The 18,741-nt window shown below is 38.3% G+C and overlaps 1 protein-coding gene and 1 non-coding gene across 5 annotated transcripts in view; one reads left to right on the forward strand and one right to left on the reverse strand.

The window, feature by feature from the left end:
• PEX7 (peroxisomal biogenesis factor 7) overlaps positions 1-18,741 on the forward strand; it is a 91,343-nt gene that overhangs the window by 32,862 nt on the left and 39,740 nt on the right. For 2 of the 4 annotated variants that reach the window (NM_000288.4, NM_001410945.1), the window contains exons 6-8: positions 11,174-11,280; positions 14,437-14,550; positions 16,745-16,800. The exons of 1 other annotated variant lie outside the window; for it this stretch is intronic. In NM_000288.4, the coding sequence (NP_000279.1) occupies positions 11,174-11,280; positions 14,437-14,550; positions 16,745-16,800 (277 nt within the window). The remainder of the gene's footprint in view (positions 1-11,173; positions 11,281-14,436; positions 14,551-16,744; positions 16,801-18,741) is intronic. One more of the 4 variants, XM_006715502.3, reaches the window with a different exon arrangement.
• On the reverse strand, positions 245-378 carry LOC124900226 (small nucleolar RNA SNORA27). Its single transcript, XR_007059953.1, has one exon. It is a non-coding gene; the product is annotated as a small nucleolar RNA SNORA27 (small nucleolar RNA).

The following is an 18,741-nucleotide window of genomic DNA, read 5'->3' on the forward strand; positions in this document are numbered from 1 at the left end:
CTCAGCCTCCCGAGTAGCTGGGATTACAGGCACGTGCCACTATGCCCGGCTAATTTTTGTATTTTTAGTAGAGCCGGGCTTTCGCCTTGTTGGCCAGGCTGGTCTCAAGCTCCTGACCTCAGGTAATCCGCCTGCCTTGGCCTCCCAAAGTGCTGGGAGTATAGGCATGAGCCACCGTGCCCGGCCTATTTAAGGTTCTAAATTTGCCTTGATTTGGGCATTTTTGTTTGTTTGTTTGTTTTCAGTTTGTTTTCTCTGACAGGATACATGACCATGACAAACACCCAGTTTGCCTGAGTTTTAAAAAGGATATTTCGTTTGCCCCACTGGAATGACCAGTAAAGACATACATCCAGTTGGCAAAGTGGAAAGAGGGTATTGATTTGTTTTTAATCATTGTTCTCTTTATGCGTATGACCAAATATAAATCTGATAGTGACAAAATCACAAACTAATACAGCTGCATTTTTTGGACGTCAGTCAGAATTGTGTGTATTAGCCCTTCATTTGAGCTGAGTCACACACCTCTTCTTTTTACATTGGTCTTTGTGTAGCATGGAATACATAGCATTGACTCTGGATAGTGCTGTAGAATATGCACTGTATGAGACTGAATAACAGAAGATGAATTGTTTCTAGAGTGTTGCTATAATCACAACACTTCACTTTTCAAACTATCTGTACAGTGTAAGTGGGTAGTAGAAAAGTGATCTTTTATCAACAGAATGACTGTTTGCTTCTGTAGAAGACCCCTGTTTCATTACATTACCTTCATATGTTGTGTTAGAAATTAATATAAATCTTGGTCATATCAGCCAGGACTTCTTTGGTTGAAAGTAAAAAAAAAAAAAAAAAAAAAAAAAATTCTGACCCAAAGTGCTTTAAGGAAGAAGATAACTTATTTGCTCACATAAGTGAAAAGTTCAGAATTAAATCTGGCTTTATAGGCATGGTTGAATGTAGGGCTCTGTCTTCTGTTGTGCTGGTTTCAGAATCAGGGTATCAGGCACCACATGATGGCAAGATAGTAGTAGCTCCAACACCTACCTCTTTTCTGGTTTCTGTCCAGTAGGAGAAAGTGAAAGATTCCTTCTCAGACATCCAGACTGTTTCATTTTCTGTCATGGGCTCTGATGCGTCCTTGTGGATGTTCCTGAACTAATCACTGTGTGTGGGTGAGGGGGATACAATATTTTGATTGGCTTAGGCTTGGTTAGTCCCTGCAGTTGGGAATGGAAAATGAGAGAGGGTGTTACCCAAACAACATGGATTGAGGATGGAAAGAGTGAATCCAGATTAGGTGAATGTAGGTGGATGGAGTCGAAGGGGCCAGTATTCACTAAATTGGCTGCACATCTAAGGCTTCAGATAAATCAGAGGGGATTTGATGAAAATCAAGTACTGGACCTGTAAGCTCTAACATATGTTCTTCAAAAACTTTCCTTGTGAAATGGATACAGTAAAGCTGTTTTCTACCAATTTTTATGACTTAGGGAACTCATTGGAAGATTGATTTTTCAAACATTTGCCATTTTCCTGAAATAATCCTTTGTGGTGATTTACAAATATTAGTCTACTTAGTACTTTTTAAAAGATTCAAAGTTCTTCTTCCACTCTGCAAAAATATTGGAATGAGTTGGGGTGTAGTAAAAAGTCAATGCAAGTTGCAAAACTCTCACTGTGCCTTAGCCATTTCAGAGACAAGAACATTTACTCACTGGGCTGTGTACCATGCGTTTGTAAGCAAATGCAGTGCTTAGATCTTCTTTGCTTCACTTGTTTTCATACATTTCCTATAACACTTGTGTATTCTTTTACATAGCCGAATGCCTTACATAGCCAAACACGAAAATATTTTTGATAGTTATTATATAAGATATGGGAGTAACCATCTTATTCAAATTTTTAAAACATACTGAGTTCATTTTGATTGTTGAGAAGGACGCTGCTAGTGAGTCAGTCAGATATTTATTGAATGTCCATCATTTATTGGAGATTCAGTGAGGAAGACAACAGATGGAGTTCCTGCACTCTTAGAGCATATAGTCCAGTAGGAAAGAGGAATGCTAAGACAAAATCTAGAAGCAGCTAGTGATGAAGACTGTGAAGTTCTTTAAGGAGAGGTAATATAGCACAGTGGTCAGGAACAAGGATTCTGGAGCTGGACTGCTTCAGATCAAGTTCTACTTTCCTGCTGTTAGGAGACTTTCTTTGGTCATGCCATTTAAACCTCTTGTCTCCTCATTCCTCATTTCTAAAATCAGGGTGATAATGGTATCCACATCATGGAGTTTTGAGGAGGATTAAGTGGCTAATGTGCATAAAGGGCTTAGTTAGAACAGTGACTGGCAGAGTAAAAGCTCTGTGAGCATTACCTCTTTTTTTTTGAGACAGGGTCTGGCTCTGTTGCCCGGCTGGAATGCAGTGGTGCCATCTCAGCTCACTGAAACCTCTGCCTCCTGGGCTCAAACAATCCTCCCACCTCAGCCTACTAGCTAGGGCCACAGGTGTGCGCCACCACCCAGCTAATTTTTGTATTTTTGGTAGAGACAGGGTTTCACCATGTTGCCCAGGCTGGTCTAGAACTCCTGGGCTCAAGCAATCCTCCCGCCTTCAGCCTCCCAAAGTGCTGGGATTACAGGCATGAGCCACTGCACCCGACCTTAAGTATTACCTGTTATTATTAACACGTGTGCCCAGAATTCTGTGGAAATGTATAAATGGATTCCTGAGCTTGTCAGGGTTGGCTGGTCAGGTCACTTCCCTGAAGAAATAGTCTAAGCTGCTGCCTTATGGACAAGTAAGAGGAAATGGGAAGTGGGAGGCAAAAGTTGGAACATGGAGAGAACAGAGCATACTTGAGGACCATCAGAATGGCCTTTGCAGTGTATATGTGCTGTAACAGTGGACAGTTAGTGCTTATCTAAGAGCTAAAACTCTTGGAGCTCTAGGGTAATTTGCTCTAGGTAGACGCTGGAAAGCATGGTTGTATAGTAACATACTAGTCCAGCGATTCTAGAATCTGGCTAATCATCAGAACCATTGGGAGAGCATTAAAAAACAGCAGCAGAATTGTGGGCTTCATCTTAAGTCTTGCTGAATAAAAAGACAGAATACCCCTGGGAGATACATTTTTAAATCCCAGCTGAATCTAGTGAACAGCCCAATTTGGGAAGCACTGTACTAGTCTATGGAATAGCTGTGTTTGAGATGCCAAATTGACAGCTTAGTTCTATTTGAGGTAATGGGAATTGCATGTCTGTTTTCAAAGGAATATACTCAACTCTTTTTTTAAAAATCTACAGAATGGTTTCAGTGCCGAATTCAGAGAAGTGGTTGCTTTAGTTGGAGAACTGCTTAGTTTTTTCTCAGTTTTGCTAGTGAGTTTATCTTTATTAATTCTCTTGCTTTGTCTTCTTGCTTACGGACGAGTGTTTATTATAAAACATAACATAATCTTTGCATAAAGTAATCCCAACTGCAAAGTTTGTAGTGTGGAACCCATAGTTGTAAAATACTTGTTTTTCATAGTGGAAGCTTATGTGATAGGCAGTCAAGATGTATTTTTATGTCTAATCCTGTTGCACACATGTAGTTAAGTATATCTTTCAACAGATTACAACAATTTATATTTTAAGATAATATATGAGAACGTAGCATTTAGTTTGCTCCAAGAATTTAGTCATCTTCAAAGTTGTATAGTTTTGCAAATCTAGCATCAAATTAGTTACCATTAGATAAGCTAAGACAGGCCAAAATGGGGGAAGTTTTTAGAGAACTACCAGTAGATCTAGATTTACCTTCCATAGCAGAGTTGCCTAAAGACATTGCATTTTGCCTAATTCATGATAGTTGTGTTAGTACAGACATCATATTTCTAAATTATATGAGATAGAAGGGAAGAATATTTGAGCTCTTTTTATGAAGAGGATTAATATGAAGTAAATTATCTTTGGAATCATGAAAACTAAATTATTGCTGTCACAGACTCCATCTAGTTGCGTAAGTCATAACCATGCCTGAATGTGTGGGATCCAGTAGTTAAAGCAAACCTCGTTCTACTGTAAGAAAAAGTCATATTACATCTGAGAGGCACAAGGCATTTCGGTTAAGTTATATTGGCCCCAAAGTACCCTTTTGCTACTCAGTTCACTTCCCAGTTTTAGACTCTTATGTTTACACTCATTCTCCTTATGCAACTTCCTCGTACCTGCTGCAATTTGAAATTAGACATAGTAACAGCCAGCACTTCCTTGCCCATATTGTACATTTAAATTCACTGGTTCTGGCCAGGCACAGTGGCTCACATCTGTAATCCCAGCACTTTGGGAGGCCAAGGTGAGCGGATCACTTGAGGTCAGGAGTTTGAGACCAGCCTGACCAACATGGTGAGACCCCATCTCTACTAAAAACTCAAAAAAATTAGCCAGGCATGATGGCGGGTGCCTGTAATCCCAGCTACTGGGAGGCTGAGGCAGGAGAATCGCTTGAACCCTGGAGGCAGAGGTTGCAGTGAGCCACTACACTCCAGCCTGGGTGACAGAGTTAGACTCTGTCTCAGAAAAAAAAAAAAAGAAAAAAAAATTCACTGGTTCTGTCAGTGGCAGGTCTGCAATTGATAAGAGAAGCTGGCAATTCAGGTGAGTCTATGGCACCATCACAGGGCCCTGATAAATGTCTGCCTGTCAATGAAAGGCCAGTTGTCTAGAAAATTCAATTGAAAAAACAATATAAATACAGAAGTCCTGGCAGCTGAAAGAGCTGAATGAGTCATTGTACCATTTGGTCATTAGGTCTCCTTCCTACCTGGAAAACAAAATGGCGAGGATGAAGTGCCAAATGGTTACATCAGGAGTTGCTGTCAAGGAAGTGGAATTCTCAGCTCCTGCCCAGCAGTCTTCACATTTTTGTGCCCATTAAATTAACTGCAAGAGGGGACAGCTCAAGCCATGGCTCTTTTTTTTTTTTTTTTTTTTTAAATATTGCATGAAAGTGGTGGTGTGAATTGAACAATGAGAACACATGGACACAGGAAGGGGAACATCACACACCGGGGCCTGTTGTGGGGTGGGGGAAGGCGGGAGGGATAGCATTAGGAGATATACCTAATGTTAAATGACGAGTTAATGGGTGCAGCACACCAACATGGCACATGTATACATATGTAACAAACCTGCATGTTGTGCACATGTACCCTAAAACTTAAAGTATAATTAAAAAAAAAAAGAAAGAAAGTGGTGGTGTGGAACAAAACCTCCCAACCTTTGTTATTGTGTTTTTTAATCTTTTATTGAAGTATAATACACATATTGAACAGTGCATAATCTTAGTATACAATTTGGTGAATTCTCACAATGAACACATCCTTGTAACTGGCACCCAGGTGAAGAAACAGAATGTTCCCAGAGGGCCTCCTCCCATCCTTATAGTCGCTTCTCACCACGTCCCACCCCAGGTGACCACTGTGTGGCCTTCCAATAACATGGATTAATGTTGCCCATTTTCATACCTTTGTTACTGGTTTTTTTCATGCAACATTATGTCTTGTGAGACTCATCCATGTTATTCCTACAATAACAGTTCTTAATCTCCTAGTCTGCATTCATTGTAATGTTTTGGTACTTTTAAATTTTTTTATTTTTATTTTTTGAGACAGAGTCTGGCTCTATCACCCAGGCTGGAGTGCAGCGGCACAGTCTTGGCTCATTGTAGCCTCTGCCTCCTAGGCTCAAGCAGTCCTCCCACCTCAGCCTCCTGAGTAGCTGGGACTACAGGTGCATGCTACCAAGCCCGACTAATTTTTGTATTTTCTGTAGAGACAGGATTTCACGGTTGCCCAGGCTGGTCTGGAACTCTTAAACTCAAACGACCTGCCTGCCTTGACCTTCCAAAGTGCTAGGATTACAAGTGTGAGCCACCATGCCTGACCTGTTTTGGTACTTTAAGTCAGTTCACATACTCATATCTTATTAGGGTGAACCCAAGCTCATTGATCTTGAGACAATGCTATAGCTATAGCAGAATTTATACTTTTAACCTAGTATTAGATATAAATTCCTGAAAGTTAGTATATATTATTTAGGCATTTTGTATGTTTTAATGGAAACCTCGAGCTTAATTAAATGGTTTTTTTTTAGCTAGTTTCAGGAGACTGACGCTTTAGGAGAATACCCTTCGCTCCCTTATGATAAAGAGTGATTTCCTTTGCCTGCAAGTGATAGAACTGGGACTATGTTAGATCTTTGTGAAATTTGTTAAAAAGCATACTCCAGAAAGGGAAGGGCTGTTTGAAAGGCCCCAGGACACATTCTGTTTCTCATCTGGACTTTTCTCTACTTGTTGACTTGGCTCTGCAGACTGGCTTTCTCCACACAGTGAGACACATGGCCACTAGTGGCTCCTGAATTTATATATATATAAATATATATAAATTCACTATGTTTATATATATATTCAGTGTATAATGCAGCGTGACATCCACGTCACCCTGCATTATACACTGAAGGCTGGAGAAGGTCATGAGAGATCATTTCATCAAAGCTATATATATATATTTTTTCTGTATTTATATATATATATTTTATATATATTATATATATATATATTATATATATATAGTTTTTTTTTTGGGGGGACAGAAACTTGCTCCATTGCCCAGGCTGGAGTTAAGGGGCGTGATCTCAGCTCACTGCAACCTCCACCCCTGGGGTTCAAGTAATTCTTATGCCCCAGCGTCTTGAGTAGCTGGGATTACAGGCGTGTGCCACCATGCCTGGCTAATTTATTTATTTATTTTGTATTTTTAGTAGAGACAGGGTTTTGCCATGTTGGCCAGGCTGGTCTCAAACGCCTGGCCTCAAGTGATCCACCTGCCTTAGCCTCCCAAAGTGCTAGGATGACAGGCATGAGCCACTGTGCCTGGCCATATTTTTACGTTTTTGAGACAGGGTCTTGTTCTGTCACCCAGGGTGGAGTACAGTGGTGCGATCATGGCTCACTGCAGCCTTGACCTCCCGGACTCAAGCAGTTCTCCTACCTCAACCTCCAGAGTAGCTGGGACTACAGGTGTGTGCCACCATGCCTGGCTAATTTTTAAATTTTTTGTAGAGCTGGAATCTCACTATGTTGCTCAGGCTGATCTCGAACTCCTGGGCTCAAGTGATCCTCCTGCCTTAGCCCCTTAAAGTGCTGGGATTACAGGTGTAAACCATCATGCCCAGCCTCCTGAATTTTATAAGTTGTAAATGCTACCATAAGAGGACAGACATTATTTTTTCAGTTATAGTTCAGAAAAATCCCAAGTACCTGCCTTTGACCTTTCAGCTGTAGTCAAAGCAGGGAATGAGGTACTGTGGTTGGTCTTGCCTGGACCTGCCTTTGGTCAGTCAATTGTGTTGAGGTGTAAGTCTTTATAGAATCACTTGGTGAGAAAAGGACATGCTGTTCCTAGAAAAAGGGTATTTCTGGGCAGGCCAAACACTGGACATCCACGTCACCCTGCATTATACACTGAAGGCTGGAGAAAGTCATGAGAGATCATTTCATCAAAGCTATTTGGAATTCTAGAAGCAGATTCTACTGACTGGTGGCTAGACCACAGACAGTGATTATAATGAGGGCCGTTGGAGTTATTTGAAGCTCTAACCTGTACCAATTCTGAACAATTTCCTTTTGGTACTTTCAAACTTATCATTCATTTTTCACAATGAGATATGTTGTCACTAGTGGGTCCTGAATTTTATAACTTGTCAGTTCTGCCATAGAAGAGGGACTGACATTATTTTTCAGTTGTAGTAAGAAAAATCCCAAGTACCCCCATTTGGCCTGTCAGCTGTGGTCTGAGCAAGGAATGAGGTGCTATGGACGGAGGTACCATCCTTAGCTAGGTCCAAAAATGTTTGTTACTCTCATCTATCAAAGTGGTTTTCAACCTTTTTTTAATGTAGCAGGACAGTATTTTTAAATCAAAAAAGGAAAAAAAATCCTACATACAAAGCAGTAGTAGTACGTATTTATGGATCCATAAAAATATAATAAAAGTATTACCAAAATGCAAACTAAAGGGCTGTGGACCAAATTCATGACTGTTGTGGCCTCTGGGCAGGGAGGATGGGAAGTGGTATTGAAAATATAATAGAAATTTTTCTCCGATTTATAGAAAAAGTAATACAGGGCTGGATGCAGTGGCTCACACCTGTAATCCCCTCACTTTGGGAGGCTGAGGCAGGTGGATTGCTTGAGCTCGGGAGCTGGAAACCAGCCTGGACAACATGGCAAAACCCCGTCTCTGCCAAAAATAGAAAAATTAGCAGGGGCATGGTGGTGTGCGCTTGTAGTCGCAGCTACTTGGGAGGCTGAGATGGGAGGATTGCTTGAGTCTGGGAGGTGGAGGTTGCAGTGAGCTGAGATCGCATCACTGCACTCCAGCCTGGAAATTAAAAGAATTAAAATAATTCCTCCAGAATTAGCCAACATTGATTGTATGGCATTTGTCGTCCAGCAACACAAGGAGGCAGCAGCGCAGTGTAGTTGTAAAGCTGTAAAGTGTGCATGCTGGGGACCCAGACTCCTTGGGTTCTGGTTCCAGGTCCTGGTTCTGTTGCTTACTATCCTGGGTGAGTTATTTCATCTTTATATGCTGCATTTGTATAGTACTATATTCCTCATTTGTATAGTACTATACAATTACTTTTATATCTCCAAATTCCTACTTTATGTAGTTGTGATGTTTTTAGAAAAAATATGTATAAAATGCTTAGAACAGTATGTGGCACATTGGAAGCACTCAAATATTAACTATTATTCATGTTGTTATTATTGGGGGGACATAAATAACTTCTAATCATGGGTATTTTTTCTCATAAAAAAAAAACACACATATTGAGAGCTTACTGCATATCTTTTGCGTATCTGGCACCGTACTCATGCTACTACCTTGTCTCATTTCAGCCTTACAAGGCAGTTATTTTATTGTAGGTAGGAAACTGAAGATCAGCGAAATAACTTGATTAAGCATCAGTGGCCACCAAATGATTGAGCTGGATTAGAACCAAGCTCAGGAACTCCAAAGGCCCTGTTCTTAACCTCTGCATTTCATTACTGCCAACACATTTCTTATCTTTCTTAAGCAACTTCCGAAGAAGCCAGGAAAAAATTGCCTAGGATAGCTAAATTTAGCTTAACAATATATGATTTAGAATTGGGAATATAGGAAAATATATGTAGATAAGTGAAAGATACTTTAAAAATTTAGCATTTTTATATACCGTATTTGGCAGTTTCTAGTATGTGTTAGAGACCATGCTAGGTGCTTTACAGAAACGTGATGAAATTCTTAGACAGCGCTGCATGTTGGGCATTCTGTGTCTCCTTTAGAATGAATCAGTCTCAGAGATATTACGTATCCTATGCAGGGTATGTATCCTATAACCACAAAATGGCATTCAAGTCCCCACCTGCTATCATGCCAGAAACTACATGCTTTTCATTACATGGAACTGGTTTTCTCACATCATCAGTTGTTTATATTTTACTTTTGAGGTAGGTATATATATTCTGGATTTTATTCATCTTGTCATCTTTTGTTTCCTCATAGTTTAGAAAAACTGGAGGCAAACAACATGTAAAACATTTAATTGGGTGTCTGTGCAATTAAGTAATGCAAACTGTTTTTGTAATAATGCAAAGTGTAATCTTTAAATGTTTTTAGCTTGTTGGCCAGGCATGGTGGCTCATACCTGTAATCCCAGTACTTTGGGAGGCTGAGGTGGGAAGATTGCCTGAGGTCAGAAATTCGAGACTAGCCTGGCCAACATGGTGAAACCCCATCTCTCTCACTCTTTATTTATTTATTTATTTTTTTGAGATAGAATTTCACTCTTGTTGTCTGGGTTGGAGTGCAGTGGCACAATCTCGGCTCACTGCAACCTCTGCCTCCCAGGTTCAAGTGATTCTTCTGCCTTAGCTTCCCCAGTAGCTGGGATTACAGGCACCCGCCACCACCACGCCCAACTAATTTTTTGTTTAGTAGAGATAGGGTTTCATCATGTTGGCCAGGCTGGTCTCAGACTCCTGACCACAGGTGATCTGCCCACCTTGGCCTCCCGAAGGGTAGGGATTACAGGCGTGAGCCACCACGCCTGGCTAAAACTCCATCTCTACTAAAAATACAAAAATTAGCTGGGCGTGGTAGCACACATCTGTAATCCCAGCTACTTGGGGGGCTGAAGCATGAGAATTGCTTGAACCCAGGAGGTGGAAGTTGCAATGAGCTGAGACCGTGCCTCCGCACTCCAGCCTGGGCAATAGAGCAAGACTCTGTCTCAAAAAAATATCAAAATAAATAAATAGGCCGGGCGCTGCGGCTCATGCCTGTAATCCCAACACTTTGGGAGGCTGAGGCGGGTGGATCACGAGGTCAGGCAATCGAGATCATCCTGGCCAACATGGCGAAACCCCGTCTCTACTAAAAATACAAAAATTAGCTGGGCGTGGTGGTGTGCACCTGTAGTCCTGGCTACTCGGGAGGCTGAGGCAGGAGAATCACCTGAACCTGGGAGGCGGAGATTACAGTGAGCCGATATCGTGCCACTGCACTCCAGCCTGGCGACAGAGTGAGACTCTGTCTCGAAATAAATAAATAAATACATAAAAATAAATAAATAAAATTTTTTAGCTTTTTTTTTTGAGGAGAAAAATACACTTATAGCTGGCCCGTTAAAATATAGTATACTTGACAATGAAAAGTAAAAAATTCTCCATTTTGGCTTGGTAGACTTTGCCCGCCTTTAGCAGTAAAATTGTTACTCTATTGTTGGTTTCTAGTACAATACACTGGTACAGAGTGATCACTTTATTTCCTAACACGAGAATTTTCAGGGCCTTTCCTGCCTCGAACACACACCAGCTGTGTGTTTAGTCAATACTGTGTTTATCTCAGCGTGAGATTCAAATTTTCCTCCTAATAGCATTATCACGGTGCAACGTCACTTTTTGTATTCCTTCATTTGAATAGTTCCTATACATTATTATGGTTTAAAAAATAAGTCTGAAGGTGGCAATATCCTAACACTGAAAGCAGTGTATTTTTACTTGACTTATTATTGTGAACACATTATGTCACTGCACATTCAAGTGGTGTGATGGGAAATGATCAAGTCTTCCTTTTTACTAGGTGATCAGACTCTGAGAATATGGGATGTGAAGGCAGCAGGAGTAAGAATCGTGATTCCTGCACATCAGGCAGAAATCTTGAGTTGTGACTGGTGTAAATACAATGAGGTATAGTGTATGGCTCTATCCTATGCTGCTGTCCTTCCTAATGTTAAAATGTTCTGAATTTTATTTGTCTTTGTTTATGTGGACTTTGGTGGTGTTCCTGGACCATTAAGTTAAATTCTGTCCCTTTCCTTTCTAATTAATGATTGTGACTGACCTGCATTAGCATTAATTGGATTTAAGTGCTCATGAAACGGGCAAAATAAGAAACAGAAATTCTCAAAGTTCAACAGTGCAGGCTTACTTGTTTGTTTTGGGAAGCTGCCTTATGTAATTTTTTTCTTTATTGCTCTTAACCCTGCAATTTTGTATCATCTTTTGCTTTTATTTCTTTCTCACTTTGCTAGTCAGGCTGTTGAACTATTGTAATTTGATTTTTAATTTGACAGTCCATCAGTTTTTAAATTTTTCTGTTTTATCTTCCTTTTTAAGCCTAACCAATTTTCATGCCTCTGTAAGATAAGTGTCCATGTGCAACTTTTTTAAAGCTTCAGTTAACCACATGAGCGTATGAATCAGAGATAGAAATGGATTAAATATGTGTTAATATACTACAGTCATGCACTGCATAACAACATTTCAGCCAGTGACAGATTGCATATGTGACAGGGCCCGTAAGATATAATGGAGCTGAAAAATTCCTATTGCCCCCGAAAACCTTCCAGCAGGACAAGATGTGAAGGTAGAAGACAGTGATATTGATAATCCTGACTCAGTGTAGTCCTAAACTAATATGTGTGCGTCTCAGTTTTTAAAAAAAGAGTTTAAAAAGTAAAAAAAAAAATTAAATAGAAAAAAGCTTATAAACTAAGGATATAAAGAAAGAAAATATTTTTGTATAGCTCTACAATGTGTTTATATTTTAAGTTTTGTTATTATGAAGAGTCAAAAAGTAAAAAAAGCCAGGCATGGTGGCAGGCGCCTGTAGTCCCAGCTACTCGGGAGGCTGAGGCAGGGGAATCGCTTGAACTGGGAGGCAGAGGCTGCAGTGAGCCAAGATCACGCCACTGCACTCCAGCCTGGCAACAGAGCAAGACTCCATCTCAAAACAACAACAACAACAACAACAAAAAACTTTAAAAAAAATTAGAAAGTTTATGAAGCAAAAAATTACAGTGAGCTAAGGTTAATTTATTATTGAAGAAAGGAAATAAAAAATAAATTTAGTGTACAGTAATGTTCTAGGCCTTTCCATTCACTCACTACTCATTCACTCACTGACTCACCCAGAGTAATTTCCAGTTTTGTAAGCTCCATTCATGGTAAGGACCCTACTACCATTTTTTATCTTCCATACTATATTTTTACTATACCTTTTCTATGTTTAGATACAGAAAGCCTTACAATTGTGTTACAGTAGCCTACAGTATTCAGTACAGTAACATGCTGGACAGGCATGTAGCCTAGGAGCAATAGGCTGTTTCATCTAGCCTGGGTGTGTACTAGGCTGTACCACCTAGGTTTGTGTAAGTACACTCTGTGATGTTCACGCAAAGATGAAATTGCCTAATGCCACATTTCTGAGAGCATATCCCCATCATTAAGTGATGCATGACTGTATTTATGTCCCTGAAGTGGTCTGTTGACCGTGACAAATAGGTAAAATGTATGCTTTGTTTTTTTCCCAGTTTTAAATTAATTAAAGTTAAAAGAACATTGTATTGGCAGAGTTCTTTAAATAAAAATAAGTAAAATAAGTTAAAATATAGTATATATACAATGATATTACTCAATCTAAACATTTCAATGCTGATGACTATAGTTTCAAACTCATAAATGAATGTTTCATATTGGAAAATTAATTATGGCCTGTATGTTAGATGTTTGGGAACTCTAAAGAAAGATGCTGATAGACATTTGAGAGTGATTTACAAAAATTATTTTCTAATAACTGAAACTTTTCTTCAAATTAGCTTAAACTAAAGCCCAACATAGTCAGACAATGTTAGGTTGGTGCAAGAGTAGTTGCAGTTTTTGCCATTACTTTCAATGGCAAAAACTGCAACTACTTTTGCGCCAACTTAAATCCATTGCTGTTCTGAGTTATGTGGGGTGGACTGAGTGTGGACCCAGCACTTGTCCTATTCAGCCAGGACCTCTGGGTTCACTTGGGGCTCTAGATAGCAGAATTTGTAAAGCCGGAATAGATAAGAGACTCACCACTATTTGATTACATTCTTGGATATGATTAGATATCGTATTAAGAATTTTGGTCCAAGAGAGTTGGAAACAATGATTAATTTAGATTTAGAGAACATGGAAAAATTTAATTCATAGCCTTTGCTTTTTCAGATGTGCCTAAATGAACAGACCTCTTGCCTTTTAATGCCTGGAAAAACCTCAGAGTATGTTGAAACCCTTTTTGTTTGTTTGTTTTTTAGAGATGAGGTCTCACTGTTGCCCAGGCTGGTCTCAAACTCCTGGGCTCAAGTGATCCACCGGCCTTGGCCTCCCAAAGTGCTGGGATTATAGGAGTGAACCACCGCACCCAGCCTTGAAAACCTTTTTTAAATTTTTATTTTTTTTTTAGAGACAGGGTCTCGCTGTGTCATCCAGGCTGAGGTACAGTGGGGTGATCATACCACACTGTAGCCTCTGACTCTTGGGCTCACACAATCCTCCTGCCTCACTCAGCCTCTCAAGTAGCTAAAATTACAGGTGTGTGTTACCACGCCTGGCTAATTTTTTGGGTAGACAGGGTCTTGCTTTATTGTCCATGCTGGTCTCAAGTTCCTGGCCTCAAGTGATCCTCCCACCTTTGCCTCCCAAGGTGCTGGAATTCCAGGGAAAACCTTTTGAAGAGAAAGCTGGGCTCATTTGTCAGATAAAATTTTTAATCCCCTATGTATTTACTGCCGCTTCTAAAGCTGAATTAGAAAATCCACAATGCTGTTTGGAACTATGCCTTTTCCAGCTGTCTGTAGTGTTCCATCGTGTACATAAAGCATATTGAGTTCTTTTTCTCACAAGTCATATTAGTTTTTTGCTATTAATGTCTATGTTGATTCCTGTCTATACTTGTTATACAACTTCTCAAAAATGACTCCTTGGTTCATATTAAATAGTTATCAGAAAGCAGATGTTGTTTCTAGTAGGAAAGCCTGCATACTGTTTAATTGCAAAGATGTCACAGTTTATGTTTCTCTGAATTGTTTTTAGAATTTGCTGGTGACCGGGGCGGTTGACTGTAGTTTGAGAGGCTGGGACTTAAGGAATGTACGACAACCAGTGTTTGAACTTCTTGGTCATACCTATGCTATTAGGAGGGTGAAAGTAAGTTTTCATCTTTTCTTTTATATGTAGAATAAAATTATATAAATATAATCAATGAAGTGTATATTAAAAAGTGTTCTGGGTTTAGGGATTGGAGTTACTAATTCTTTTTTATATGTGTTTTTGTTACCCAATTAATTAGTAGTGAAAGCTAAAATTAGGCAAAAATATTTGAATAATGATTGAATGAATTTGGGCAATGTAGACATTCAATACTTAAGGTTAAATAAAAATCTTTTTCTCATTCTTTCACCTCCAATCTGTTTTTCCTTTAATATATTTTTTTAACTATAGTAATTCACTTTTAGTATTATGTTCTTTATAAGTTTCTAATTAGCGAGAGTCTCTACTTTGTTGAAACAGATGTAAAGAGATGGTTAATTCTTTCTTTTTCCTAACATGATAACATACATGACTGTTCACAGATGTTTGGGATATAGAAAGTTTTCTACTCTGTGAACAGCAGAGGATGAGGTAAATTTTTAATGATGGTCTCAGTAAATTTATCTGGGTTATAAGATGACTTAGGTTGGTTTCCTGGCTTTTATATTTAGGCAGGTTCTGCTAAATGACTGTGGAAAACATCTTATTAAGTGACATCTCCCAATTTCATCCTTTTGTTTTTTTACGTTAAGGATAAAAAAGTACCTTATTGATTATTTTAATAAGGTAATTATGTTATTCCTACTATTTAAAAAATTCTAAATTTTTTTTTCTTTTTTTTTGAGATGGAGTCTTGCCCTGTCACCCAGACACGATCTCAGCTCACTGCAACCTCTGCCTTCTGGGTTCAAGCTGTTCTCCTGCCTCAGCCTACTGAGTAGCTGGGACTACAGGTGTGCACCACCATGCCCGGCTAATTTTTTTGTATTTTTAGTGGAGACAGGGTTTCACAGTGTTGGCCAGGCTGGTCTTGAACTCCTGACCTCAAGTGATCTGCCTGCCTTAGCCTTCCACAGTGCTGGGATTACAGGCTGAGTCACTGTGCCTGGCCAAAAATTCTAAATTTTTAGTTAAGTTAATATTTTAAGTTTCTCTGGCTGCAATGCAACATAGGAGACACAGTGCTCTGTTTTATTTTTTAATAAATTTGTTTAATTGGACAAGTTTTAGCAGTTGAAAAATATGCTCTATGTATATTTTAGAGTGATTATGAGAATGAAATAAGGTAATGTAGTGAAAGTACTTTGCAAACTAAGTGCTGGTCAAATGTAGTTATATATGTGTATTTAACTATTAAAGTGCGATAAGACAAACACTGAAGAAATGTAATTGCAAAGGTCAACTTATTAAGTACATTATTACTCATCTAGAAGACGTTACTTGTCTTTAAACTTGCTTTTTACCCTTGATATAATTTTCCATTAGCTGTAATATACAAATAACGTAAAAATAACTTAAGGGTGTTTTTATTTAACATTTAAATGTTTATTTTGATAACGTGATTATAGCAATCATATATTTGTAAAATTGGTAAATTATATAATTATATATTTGTACTCTTATATACTTAAATCCCTTATATTTGTAAGAATCATTTTTGTTTATTACTTTGTTTGCTTTTGCTTTTTTTGAGCCAGAGTCTCTCTCTGTCGCCGGGGCTGGAGTGCAGTGGCATGATCTCGGCTCACTGCAACCTCCACCTTCTGGGTTAAAGCAATTCACCTGCTTCAGCTTCCCCAGAAGCTGAGATTATAGGCATATGTGCCACCATGCCCATCTAACTTTTGTATTTTTAGTACAGGCGGGGTTTCACCATGTTGGCCAGGCTGGTCTCGAGCTCCTGACCTGAGGTGATCTGCCCTCCTGAGCCTCCCAAGGTGCTGGGATTACAGGTGTGAGCTGCTGCATCTGGCCTGTAAGAATCATTTTTGGATAGCCAATATGAAATTGTATTTAATTTTTCCAGAATAGCAACATTTTGGGAATATTTTATTCTAAATAAGTTCTAAAAAGCTTGAGGGATAATTTTCTTTGGAGAATGTAAAAATATTTTTCCTGAAGATGGATACTTATAAGGCCAGAAGATTTTTGCCTCAAATTATAGCATATATGCTTTGAAAAAGCATAATTTTAAGTGACAGCTCTGACTCAACTTAAATTTATTATAATGTTTATGGAATGATCATAGAAAGCAGTGTTATAATCACAGCTGACTTCAAAAAGGGTTTTTTTTTTCTTTTTTTTTTTGTAGTTTTCACCATTTCATGCTTCTGTGCTGGCCTCTTGCTCGTATGATTTTACTGTAAGGTACAGTGGTTTTTAATACATTTCATTGTGAAATACCAGGTAACATTTGCATCTTTGCAACTTTTATAAGAGATAATATGATTACTCTTACTAACATGAAAATAATCTGAGATGGGTACATTTAAATATTTACTAGGATTAATATTATATTTTTCCTGTTTTCGTGATCCAGTCACATATATGAGTAAATTTTTTCTCTTCAAATATTAGCCTGGCTATTCTGTTTAAAAGCCATCTTTTCTAATAGATGTTCCTATGGTAACACTTTCCTACACTATAGATGGCATAGCCAATATATTCTAAATTTAGATATAGAAATTTGGAAATTGCATTTCTTCAGGTCTAATTATATGAGTCGTAAGGCTAAGATTGCTTAGATGAAAAAACAATGAACATGAGTGTATGATTTTTTGTGAATGTAGATATATGAACATGTATGTGTATATATGTGCATGGATATCTAGATAAGAGTGTGTGTGGGTGTGGGTCTCTATTTATACTTCCAGTTACAGTTCCATACCACAGAGGATTTATTTTCCCTTTCCAAATTTGTAACTCTTGACTTCCATTTTATTCACAATATATTTTCTTATGTGTTAAACCCTGTAATGCTTAGAAAGTAGTTCAGAATTGCAAAGCCATACCTTTGAAAAAAACAATCTTACTAATTAGAGCTCAGCACTTGCTTAGAGTTTTTTTTGTCTTTAGTTTGAATACTATATTCAGAAGTTACTTAGGTTAATTCTCCTCTTCTCTGTTAGAGTGTGGTTATGTTATTCACTTGAAACATGGTTTGATTCCTTTGTTTCTGTTTGTATTCAATTTTAGGGTTTTCCTCCCATCCTTGTTGATTTTGTCTAGGCAAAACATTGACATGGTTTCAAAAGTCAAGATGTACATAAAGATATATTCAGAAAGGTTTCCAGGATTTTCACTAAAATATATCCTGGAAATCATTCTGTATCAAAGAGATCATTCTCATTCTGCATAATACACCATTGTGTGGATGTGCTATAGTTTATTTGGCTACCCTCCTATCTATGGACATTTAGCTTGTTTTCAATGTTTTGTAAATAAACAGTGCCACAGTGAATGATAGCTTTGTGTTACTAGAGAATTAATGTCTGGTATTCCTAGAAGTGGGATTGCTGAGTTAAAAGGTAAACATATGTAGTTTTGTTAGATATTACCAAATTCCCATCCATAAGGAATATGCCAATTTTGATACTCAGTAGCAATGTTTGAGAGTACCTGTTTCTCTGCCTTCTAAAGATCATTGATTCATTAAGGTTTTCCAGATGTATGATCTTATCACCTGCAAATAAAGGTGGTTCTACACCTTCATTTCCAATTCTGATGCCTCTAATTGATTTTTCTTAAAATTCCCTCCACAAATACCACTAATACAGTGCTAAATAGTTTATAGAGAATGTCTGATTCCTGATATGAGTACAAACGCCTTTAGTGTTTCTCTATTAAAAATAAGATTCTGACTTTAATGCAAATTATATATGTTTACTTGTTTGTCATACTAAGAAAGTATGCATGAATTCCTATTTTCTTGAGTTTTTTTAATTAGGAATGGGTCTTAAGTTTTGTTGAAGGCTTTTTTTCCCAGCATTTATGGAGATAATCATGATTTTTCTTCTTAGAGATATGGCTATGATGTATTATATTAATGGATTGAACCAACCTTGCATTCCTGGAGTAAGTCTCTCACGTTCTTTGTGTATCATTTTCTCACCATGGTGTTGAATTGTGTTTGCTAATATTTTATTTAAAGCTTTTGCGTCAATATTCAAAGGTGATATTAGTTGCAGTTTTCTTTCTTTTCTCGTTTTGTTTAATGTGTCTGTGTTTTACTTGCTTCATAAAAAGAATTAAGAAATTTTCCTTTGTTTCCAAAGCTCTGGAACAACTTGTACAGCATTGAGGCTATTT

Source organism: Homo sapiens, chromosome 6, assembly GCF_000001405.40.
Source record: "Homo sapiens chromosome 6, GRCh38.p14 Primary Assembly".
Lineage (NCBI taxonomy): Eukaryota > Metazoa > Chordata > Mammalia > Primates > Hominidae > Homo > Homo sapiens.